The sequence below is a fragment of the Homo sapiens genome, chromosome 7 (assembly GCF_000001405.40).
Source record: "Homo sapiens chromosome 7, GRCh38.p14 Primary Assembly".
NCBI classification, from domain to species: domain Eukaryota; kingdom Metazoa; phylum Chordata; class Mammalia; order Primates; family Hominidae; genus Homo; species Homo sapiens.
The window spans coordinates 42,588,884-42,600,860 of NC_000007.14; the positions used below are offsets into that span (position 1 = coordinate 42,588,884).

The following is an 11,977-nucleotide window of genomic DNA, read 5'->3' on the forward strand; positions in this document are numbered from 1 at the left end:
GGTTAGTTTCAGTGTACATCTTTTTTTCACATTTAAAATAAATTTTTATTTTCAAAAATCACATATTAATTATTTTTTAACTTTTAAGGTCAGTGGTACATATGCAGGATGTGCAGGTTTCTTACATAGGTAAACATGTGTCATAGGGGTTTGCTGTACAGATTATTTCATCATCCAGGTATTAAGCCTAGTACTCATCAGTTATTTTCCCTGAAACTCTCCCTCCTCCCACCTCCCCAGTCCCTGGTAGGCCCCAATGTGCATTGTTCCTCTCTATGTGTCCATGTATTCTCATCATTTAGCTTCCACTTACAAGTGAGAATGAGCAGTGTTTGGTTTTCTTTTCCTGCATTAGTTTGCTAAGGATAATAGCCTCCAGCTCTATCCATGTGCCTGCAAAGAACATAATCTCATTCTTTTTTATGGCTGCATGGTATTCCATGGTGTATATGTACCACGTTTTTTTTATCCAGTCTATCATTGATGGACATTTAGGTTGATTCCATGCCTTTGTTATTGTCAATAGTGCTGTAATGAACACATGTGTATGTATATTTTTATAAGAGAATAATTTTATCCCTTTGGGTATATACCCAATAATGGGATTGCTGGGTCAAATTATATTTCTTTATCCAGATCTTTGAGGAATTGCCACACTGTCTTCCACAATGGTTTAATTAATTTACACTCTCACCAACAGTTTCTCTGCAACCTTGCCAGAATCTGCTGTTTCTTGACTTTTTAATAATCGCCATTCTGACTGGCATGAGATGGTATCTCATTGTGGTTTTGATTTAAATTTCTCTAATGGTCAGTCATGTTGAGCTTTTTTTGATATACCTGTTGGCCACTTGTATGTTTACTTTTGAGAAGTGTTTGTTCATGTCCTTTGCTCATACCTTTCTAATTTTTTTTTTAATCTTGTAAATTTGTTTAAGTTCCTTATAAATGCTGGATATTAGACCTTTGTCAGATGCATAGTTTCAAAAATTTTCTCCCATTTGGTAGGTTGTCTGTTTACTCTGATAACAGGTTTTTTTTCTGTGCAGAAGTTCTTTAGTTTAATTAGATCCTATTTGTCAATTTTTTCTTTTGTTGCAATTACTTTTGGTGCTTTCATCATGAAATCCTTGCCCATACCCTGAATGGCATTACCTAGGTTGTCTTCCAGGACGTTTATAGTTTTGAGTTTTACATTTAAGTCTTTAATCCATCTTTAGTTGATTTTTGTATATTGGTGTAAGGAAGGGGTCCAATTTCAATTTTCTGCATATGGCTAACCAGTTCTCCCAGCATCATTGATTAAATAGGGAATCCTTTCACCATTGCTTATTTTTATCAGATCTGTCAAAGATCAGATAGTTGTAGATGTGTGGTCTTATTTCTGGGTTCTCTAATCTGTTCCACTGGTCCATGTATCTGTTCTTGTACCAGTGCTGTGCTGTTTTGGTTACAGTAGCCTTGTAGTGTAGTTTGAAGTTTGGTAGTGTGATGCCTTCAGCTTTGTTCTTTTTGCTTAGGATTGCATTGTCTATACAAGCTCTTTTTTTGGTTCCATATGAATTTTAAAATATATTTTTCTAGTTCCATGAATAATGTCAATGGTAGTTTAATGGGAATAGCATTGAATCTATAAATTGTTTTGAGCGGTATGGCCATTTTCATGATGTTGATTTTTCCTATTTATGAGCATTGAATGTTTTTCAATTTGTTTGTGTCCTCTCTGATTTCTTTGAGCAGTGATTTGTAGTTCTCCTTATGGTGGTCCTTCATTTCCCTTGTTAGCTGTATTCCTAGATATTTTATTCTCTTTGTGGCAATTGTGAAAGAGAGTTCATTCATGATTTGGCTCTTGGCTGGTCAGTCTACAACTTCTGACCCACTCTCTTCCAGCTATAGTTCCAATATCTACTCATTTCTCTATTACTTTCAGAGCTACTTAGGTCTGTTCCATATGCATAGCCCCAGTGGCCTGTCTGAGGCCTGGCCGGTGGCCTATACTTTAATGAAGTTCTCAAAGATGTTAATACACTGTCAAGACTAGATACACTCATGAACAGCTCTCAGATGAGCCTAGGAGTTCATAAACAATATGATGCAACTGATCTCTCATTCTCCCTTTTTTTTTTTGTTTTGCAATCTGTCTGATGTTTTCTTCATGATTCCAGGCTCCACTCTCCCTTTTTTAATACTATAGTCAGAAAATCAAGCTTTGTATTTTCTGTTCTGCTTCACAATTCCCACGTCTACATCTATATCAGTGCCAAGAAGCATAAGGTCAGAGAAAAAAACACCACTAGGAATTGCTCTCTTTTTTTCAGCACTTTAATAATAAAGTCACTTTTGTGAGTACAGCTCCCCTGGCCAGAATATATTCTCTTCACATAGAGGGGTCCCTAGAGCCACTGCTCCCATTATCTTCACCTCTACCATGCCATCATATTATTGTCTTGGGGCTGGATGGGAAAGAACAGAAGAAAAAAAGAGGATATCCCACCTACACACATTCTTTATGACACTTAGGAGTCTCATTTTCTCCTCTTAAATCTGTAGGAGAGAAATTCTTCTGGAGCTTTTTCCATCTCTATCTGCTGTTTACTTCTGGGTTTTGTCTGCTTTTGAGTCCAGGCAGGTTGATTCTGGAGTGGGGAAAAATGAGAAACTCACTGCCAGTGTTGTATTATATCACATTGTGTTCTCTTTTGTTAAGCTGCTGGCTATCATTGACTTTTGGAGTACTTAGTTAGCTGCTTCCTGCATTCTATCTAGAGCTTATTGTTGCATTTAATGAGAGACAGTCATAGGATACAGTGTGTTTATGCCATCTAGCCAGGAACCAGAACCTCAAGGACAAGGTAATTTTTATAGCTAAACTTTGGTAATGAAGGAAACATCTCAAATGTGCCTCAATTTTTGGTGGCCCTAGTCCTATTATCATTATGAAGTGATATTTTGAATATTTTATCCTCATAGTATAGCCTGATATGCCTACATTGTAGTCTGTTCTGAGAATATTTTCTCTCTTTTATCACAATATAAAGCTATTATGCTCTGTGTTGAACCTGGTCAGGTGACCTTCAGTCTAAAGCCTTTGATGAATTTTAACTCTAACTGAAATTACGATTTTTTTTCTTTGCTAACCATTAAGAACTACCATACCAACCGATTCAGCATCAAGATTTTCTGGATTTACAATTAGCCTCAGGACATAAAGGACTTTTAGAAAATATCATTCAACTAGATGATCTTATTGTACCATTATATCCAAAGAGAAATGGCATCTTTATTTAAAAGATCTCTTTGGATATGATGGTAAGCTATTTACATAGGACCAGGTTGAATGGAAGTAAAAAAGGAGGAGGTGGCTACATTTTCCAAAGAGGCCCACTATAAGATGTGGTCAGTAGGAGGTCCTGTATTCTTAAGATGGGACTCACGGTCTGTATTACAAAGGACGGGTAAAGACTGATCAGAGGAGCTGCTAATAACCTGAAATGTATCTTCTGATACTGTAAGATGGAAGAGTAGAACCACTAGCAGATTATCATTCACAAGGACTCCCTAAATTATTATGTGAAACAATAACTAATCCATATACTTCAGAACCCTTCTGCTAAACATAATAAATGTCCCATTTTATATCTAAGATTTTGAGCTGTTTCCCATGCTCCTACCAATGAAATGCTATATGACCACCAGGTTTCATTGCTCATTGCACAGTAATGAGCCAGTACACTGAAACAGCAGGAGTTGCAGCAGAGAATGAATATAATAACTGTAGGTTGGCCAAATGAGAAGATGGGAGGAAACCTCAAATCTGCCTCTCAAGAGGTTTTGGGACAGAGTTTTTTAGGGATCTGAACAGATGATGGGCTAAAGGGTGGTGGCCACTGATTGGTCAAGAAGTGAGGGGTGAAGTCATGGGACAGGGAGATGAAGAAACTACATTTCTGTGCTGAGTAGGTTCCTTGGGGAGGGGATTCAGACCAGTTGGCATTAGCCATCCTGCTGGAATTCAGGATCTGGAAAATACCTTACACAATTCTTGGGTAAAATGGTCTATCATCAGAGATTCTATCTATAGAAACAGTGGAGGAGCAGGTGGTCACTGTGCTACATGACTCTCAGGTAGCAGCTGCAGAAAAGTCAGTCAAAGTGCACCAGTGCACCCTGGTCAATGCCTAACTATAATTCTGCCTATAGCCTAGTGTGTAAGTCTAGCTAGCCCCATGAGGGTGGTTTCAGTCCCCTCTTGACTTGTTCATTTCCTCAATCTTGAGGCAGGAGGGAATCAGACAGTGACCACTCTGGTTGCTTCCTGCTGACAAAGGACACAGATAATGGAGGAGTATCTCAATCAAGATTGAGGAAATGAAACTGTCTTGTAGTGGCCTGTAGATATTGCTGAGTGCCAGGTCTGGGGCTCTTACCTGCATAATAAAAACATTAGTGCTCTTGTTAAATTTTGACACAAATTTAATAGAACACTGAATAGTGAGGCAAAGTATGGGCCCTATTAATAAGAGGAAAAGCCCTAATTTTAGGAGCTGATGAAGTCAGCTTTTAGAGCTAATTAAAAGCCCTGAGGCATTCATGAGAAAGTCCAAAGAACCAGTCAGATAATTCTGGAGTGTCTGGAGAAATCTACTGGTTTCACAAGTGTCAGGATAGCTTTTGTATTGTCTTGGCCCAAAATAAAATGTTGTCTGTACTCATAAGTGTGATGTCAGATTGTTTTTTATGCTGAAGATATTTGATTGCTTGAATTTTCTTGATACTGTTTACATTGTGGTAAGCAGATGAATAAATTTCCATATTCAAAATGTATCCCATAAATTATTTCATATATATATAAAATCAATGCAGAAGTCAGAATTTTTTTTTTTTATCATAGTAACCCTGTTTGTAAAAATACTGCAGGATAAGTTACACATGACAGACAACAAGTGTGGTAGGCAGAGTGATGTGCCACCAACCGCCACCCTCCCCTTGCCCAAGATGTCTTCATCTTACTCTTGGCAACTTGTGAATATGTTACCTTACATGACAAAAGGCACTCTGCAGGTATGATTAAGTTAAGGTTCTTGAGAACATTATCTTGGAATATCCAGATGGGCCCAGTGTAATCACAAGGTGCCTTATAAGGGAAAGAGGGAGGCAGGAGAGTTAGAGAGGGGGATGTGATGACAGAAGCAAAGCTGGAGTGGTGTAGCCATGGCCAGAGCCAAGGAATGCAGGCTGCCTAAAGGAGATGGAAAAAGCAAAGAATGTTCTCCCCTGAAGCTTCCAGAAGAAACGCAACCCTTGATTTTAGCCTCTTAACACCCGTTTTGGACTTCCTAACACCAGAACTATAAAATAATTAATTCATTTTGTTTTAAGCCAGTAAATTTGTAGTAATTTGCTACAGCATCGTAGAAAATGAATACACCAAGATTTGCAGGTAGAGTCTGTATGAAGGAGAACCATATGCATCACAATGAATTTGCCTAGACTGAAGTCTCATTAGTGGTGGAGCAGAGGGAAGGGCCAGGATAGTGGGAGAGAAAAAGAAAGACAGATCATTTTGTGAAAGCTCTTAGGCTAGCCGGAACTTCAGTCCTACTTTTTATTTTTTTTTGTTTCTCTAATTTGAGTAGAATATTCTCTCTTTCTGTATTTCTTCCTTATGTTGCTTGACCTCTCCCTCAAAAGCTAGAGATGAAATGTTTTTATTCAAGTCGTATTAAAATTCATTTAGAATGTTTCAAGTTTACCTAATGGATCAAAGGTAAAGACTACCTGTGAAACTTTTTTCAGCTAATTAGGAAACAGGTCAAATTGGCCTCAAAGTGACTCCTAATTAAAATAATTTTTCTAGTTGGATACTTTTGCTTTTCCTTCTTTAATGATTATTTTAAAATAGAGACTTCCAGAGAAGAATAGCAAAATCACAAATACATAATTTGAACTCTCATACACTGCTGGTGGGAATGCAAAATGTGTAGCTGGAGACAGTCTGGAAGTGATTCAATGGTTAAATATAGAGTTCCCATACAATCCAGCAATTCTACTTCTATGTATCTACCCGAGATAAATGAGAACATGTGTCTTCACAAAAACTTGTACATGAATGTTTATAGAAGCATTCTTCACAATAACCAAAAAATTAAAACCCATATTTCCAACAACTTTTTTAAAAAATCCCAAGAAAAATATTAAGATAGATGCTAATATGAAATACACTTGTTCTATTTGAAGAAAATGTTACAGCTTTGATGAGGGACCTAGAAAAAGATGAAAAAAGGGACGTGTATTTATGTAAACAGAATGTCGTGCTGTGTGTATGGATAATGTGTTGGAGAACTCAATATTATAAACATATTAATTCATCCCACATTACTTTTTTAATTTAGGCAAATTATTTAATTTCAATAGAATATCATCTTCCTTCTTTTTGTATTTGTCACTAGGATTCTAAAGGTTACTTACAATTTTAAAGCTGATGAGAATTGTCTTGACATTTTAGAAAGAATAGAGACTTACTTTATTACATATAAGACGTTATTTAATTTTAACACTTGTACAAATGTGAAAAGGAAGGTATTTTAATTAAACAGAAGGAATCAGGAGCATAATTTAATAGAAACTGAATTTGTATACAAAATAATTGAGGATAGGAACAATTCTTGAATAAATTATAATAAGATATTATCAGGAAATAAAATTCAATTTGTCTTATACCTTATATTGCAATAAATTACAGATGAATTTTAAAATGTAACCTACTGAAAACATAAAGCCATGGAAGAACTGAAATGGACTAAATGCAGGTGATGTCAGTTGAGAAAGAGCATCCTAGGAACAAAGATGGTACAAGAAATCATAAATTAACATTTTGACATGTACAAAAATGTAAATATTCTGTATATCAAAAAGTAATGTAAAATTTAAAGTGAAATAGCAATTTAAAGGGAAACATGTATGCAGTATATAAATGCTTCCTATCTGTAATATATACAGAGCTTTTACAAACCACTAAGAAAAAGACAGCAAATAATATGTCACATATACTTGTAATTATTTAATTAAACATCCACTTATGAAAATATATTGCTATGCACAACTAATAAATTAAGTTCAAATATACAGTTAATGAGATGTTATATTTTACATAGTTAGAAAGAAACTTAAAAGCATGATTATCACTGTTGTCAAGAATGAAATAAAAGAGACATTCTTGAAAATCTTTAGTTTATATACAAATTTCTATAGCCATTTCAGAGAGGAATTATCCTAAGGGAATAATTAGCGATGTTAGAAGTCTAACACATAAGGACATTCATGATTGTATTATTTATTTTTACCAAAAATAACTAAACAAAAGCAACCTTAATAACTCCAAATATGGTACACGCCCAACAAACTTTGGTACATCCGTTTGATTGAAAATTATGTAGCCACTAAACAATTATAGTTTCAAAGCATTTAATTATATGAGAAAATGCTCATGATATATCAAGTCAAAACAATGTACACAATTCCAATTATTTTCTATGTGGACACCCACATCGCCCCCACATGCGTATGCACTAAATCATATTTATAAAAACACTCACAGATGAACTGCTTATGTTAAAATATTTATGATGATTTTCTCTAGTTAATATTATTACAAAAATTTCTATTTTCTTCTGAAGGTTTTAAAATTTTTCCCAATTTTCTATAGTAAATCTATTTACTTTTATAAGAAGGAGCTAGGTTATTAAAATAAAACCATAAGTTTTAAATTGAAAGTATTGCATTGATTTTTCCAATTGAATAATAAATATTAAATCAACAAACATTCATTGAACAGCTACTATATCCCTAGCACAATTCTAGGCACAACAGGCACAAAGAAAATTTCTCTCCTTTAGAACCTTACATCCTGCTTAGCAAACACACAAAAACACCTCCCCAAGACTGATGCCAAAAAGAGTGTGTTTGGGGAGCTCAAAGTAACTAAATGGAGGATCATAAGCCTCATGTTCTTATGACTCAACTAACACAAAATGCATTCTCTATCTATGTAAATGTTGGTCAGCTGTAGACACCTCATAGGTAAGCCACAAATTTATGTCAGAATGGTCAGGTACCTGATGGCATAACAGAAGATATGCATAGCTTAAATCCAGGCTTATTATCTTTCCCAAAACTCAGATGCTGTAATTCTGGTTCTCCAAAACTTGGTATTTCAAGTGTCTGTATCTTTATAGAAGATTCATTACTTTTCTGCCCCACAGTTTATGCAAATTCATTAGTAGTGTTGGATCCACAAAGACATGCCTATTTATAGCCAATGGGGTAAGAGATTTATTCTATCGGTTCTGTCATTTAAACAAATTCAGTCATATCCACATTCTTTCACTCATCTGCGATTCTAAATTTCTGGAGGACGGAGACCCTACAAGCTACTCTGGAATCTCTATAGACACTAACTTAATCACATAAATTATTAATAAATACACAAATGCTTCGGGATGATTAACACTGGGTTATTCAGTAGGTAGGAAACTGTGCACATTATCTGATTAACGACTTACCTGGGGTGGTGTATAAATATCCTCTTACAAACATGTCTATACAAGTTTTGCTTGCTGTGATGAAAATCATGTTTCCAGACTATTTACACAAAATTAAGCTGACACTGCCAAAAAAAAGTGAGTTACTCTTAGTTGTGAGAATGTATATCCTTTTATAGCAGCTTATGCTACTGGGGTGGGGCAGGACAAATAATGATCATATTCAAGGAAGAAGAATATTTTCAGGGCTAGATTATTTCTACATAAAATTTTATATTGAATATGTGAAGAAATGGCTTAAAGTAAACCCCATATTTAATTTGTGCTATATTTTCCCTTCATGAGAAAAAAGATTTTGGCTATTCTAGCACATTCACCATTTTGCTTAATCAAGACACATGTCCAGTTATTAGGATAACTAAGAAATGTTCCAAAATCTGCATAGAGTTCAGAAGAAAATTATCATATTACTTCCTAAAACCAGCATTTTTAAACTTCCACAAGCATCATAATACTCTGTAGAGCTTTTACAAACAATTTCCTGGGCCCCATTCTCAGCAATTATAGTTTTAGTAGATTTGGCTTGAACCAAGAATTGCTATTAAAACAAAACAAAAACAAAGAAAACTTACAAGCATAATTCTGATAGGCCCTAAAGGCAGAGAACCACCATCTAAAGATATATTAATAACTCCTCAATAATTTTTATAATCACGTCAGGAAATTAATTGAGCATGGGCAACAGGGCAAGTCCCTGTCTGTACAAAAAAAAATTAAGAATTAGCTGAGTGCGGTGGTGCGCACCTATGGTCCCAGGTACTCCGGAGGCTGAAGTGAGGAGGATCACTTAGACCCAGGAGATTGATGATGCAGTGAGCCATGATTGCACAACTGAACTCCAGCCTGGGTGACAGAGTGAGACCCTGTTCCAAAAACAAAACAAAGCAACAGAAAACCCAGAAAATTAACTGTTCATATAACAGAGTTTTTCATAACCTAGATCTATCAACTCAATTCAATTCTGCCAGTATTTATGAAGTATCTATTATGTACAAGTCACTTTGCTTTAATTGGGGGAATACGAAGATGTGCTAAAAAATAAAACAAACAAGCCTATTACACAATTACATAAATAATTAAACTTCAAAGGAGAACCTATAGAATCTACAAGATATGGAAAAGATGCTATCCTCATAGCATCTTTTGAAGTTTGAAAGGGGGAGAGGTCTTATTAATCTTATAAAATTATGAAAATCATATTAAATAAAGAGTTTTTGAGATAGACATTGAGAGATTGATGGGATGCGACAAGCCGAACTGCAGAGCAGGACAGGGCAGGGCACTACTGAAGTAGGGAACAGAAAATTATGGGGCAAATTATTGGAGTTTAAATAGAAAAGATAAAGTGAGAAAGTTCTTTTGGAAAATTAATTCTATAGGCAACAAACCAGTCTAACGAAAAGAAAATAATTCCCTCACAACCATAGTACTTAATAAAAACTCATTTTCAAAGAAAGCCTTAAAAAAAAGAATAGTAATACCAATGGAATGAATTAGGGGGAAAAAATGAGGTTGCAATGTGATATGGTTTGACTCTGTATTCCCACCCAAGTCTCATGTTGAATTGTAATTCCCAGTGTTTTGGTGGGAACCTGGTGGGTGGTGATTTAATCATGGGGGCGGATTTACCCCTTGCTGTTATTGTGATATTGACTGACTTCTCAAGAGATCTGAAAGTGTGTGGCACTTCCCCCTTCACACTCTCTCTCTCCTGTTGCCATGTGAAGATGTGCTGGCTTCCCTTTCACCTTCTGCCATGGCCTCTCCAGCCATGCCTCCTATACAGCCTATGGAACTGTGAGTCAATTAAATTTATTTTCTTTATAAGTTACCTAATATCAGGTAGTTCTTTATACCAATGTGATAATGGACAAACACACGGTGTTAAAGAAATAAAATAGGGAACAAAACAACAATATTAAGAACACATATGTCAGAAACTATAATAAACAGAACATTATGCCTGAAATTTAATTATTAAAATAAGGCATAAGCATTAGTGCAGAGGATAAATATAAAAAATTAAAACATTTAAATAAATTATGCCATATTGCATTAAATCAAAGGTGCCATCAATTGTAAGTCATGCTATTATTCTATGTATCACTGAAAAAGGAAAAGTGCTACAATTACACTATAATGTAATGCTGTTTTATTTCTTAAAATTTTTATATTTACCAAAGGAGCTTATTTAATCTTCAACATAGATTATTTTGTACACGTAACATTTTGGTGCACACAAAAAAGGAGACTATAAATACAATAAATTAGTTAAGACAGTCCTAGTTCTTCACATGGTATCCGATTGTTCTGAATCACTTTTCAACTCAGTTATTGATATCTGTGTTTTCTTCATTAAATATCTCGGTAATGGCAACATAATAACACAACATCATTTAATTGTGACTACTATACCCTAGTAAGAGCATACAGCATTGAGTCATTCCCCCATTGATAAATATGTTTCAAAGATAATCCAACATACAAATTAAAAAAATGGATTTTTGAAGGCATATTCAAAATTGTAAGAGAAAGATATCCATGGAATAAGTTACACTCTGTTTCAAAAACAGATATATAAACATACATGTGCATGTGTCTGTATAGCAGCATGATTTATAGTCCTTTGGGTATATACCCAGTAATGGGATGGCTGCATCAAATGGTATTTCTAGTTCTAGATCCCTGAGGAATCGCCACACTGACTTCCACAATGGTTGAACTAGTTTACAGTCCCACCAACAGTGTAAAAGTGCTCCTATTTCTCCACGTCCTCTCCAGCACCAGTTGTTTCCTGACTTTTTAATGATTGCCATTCTAACTGGTGTGAAATGGTATCTCATTGTGGTTTTGATTTGCATTTCTCTGATGGCCAGCGATGGTGAGCATTTTTTCATGTGTTTTTTGGCTGCATAAATGTCTTCTTTTGAGAAGTGTCTGTTCATGTCCTTTGCCCACTTTTTGATGGGGTTGTTTGTTTTTTTCTTGTAAATTTGTTTGAGTTCTTTGTAAATTCTGGATATTAGTCCTTTGTCAGATGAGTAGGTTGTGAAAATGTTCTCCCATTTTGTAGGTTGCCTGTTCACTCTGATGGTAGTTTCTTTTGCTGTGCAGAAGCTCTTGAGTTTAATTAGATCCCATTTGTCAATTTTGGCTTTTGTTGCCATTGCTTTTGGTGTTTTAGACATGAAGTCCTTGCCCATGCCTATGTCCTGAATGGTAATGCCTAGGTTTTCTTCTAGGGTTTTTATGGTTTTAGGTCTAACGTTTAAGTCTTTAATCCATCTTGAATTGATTTTTGTATAAGGTGTAAGGAAGGGATCCAGTTTCAGCTTTCTACATATGGTTAGCCAGTTTTCCAAGCACCATGTATT

At 35.3% G+C, this 11,977-nt stretch overlaps 1 long non-coding RNA gene across 1 annotated transcript; it reads right to left on the bottom strand.

Annotated features, from left to right (window-relative positions):
* Window positions 1-2,307: 2,307 nt before the first annotated feature.
* Window positions 2,308-9,466, bottom strand: LOC105375251 (uncharacterized). Its single transcript, XR_927206.3, has 4 exons — window positions 9,348-9,466; window positions 8,565-8,668; window positions 6,769-6,837; window positions 2,308-2,639 (listed from the first exon to the last, which is right to left on the bottom strand). It is a non-coding gene; the product is annotated as an uncharacterized LOC105375251 (long non-coding RNA).
* Between the last annotated feature and the right edge of the window lie 2,511 nt (window positions 9,467-11,977).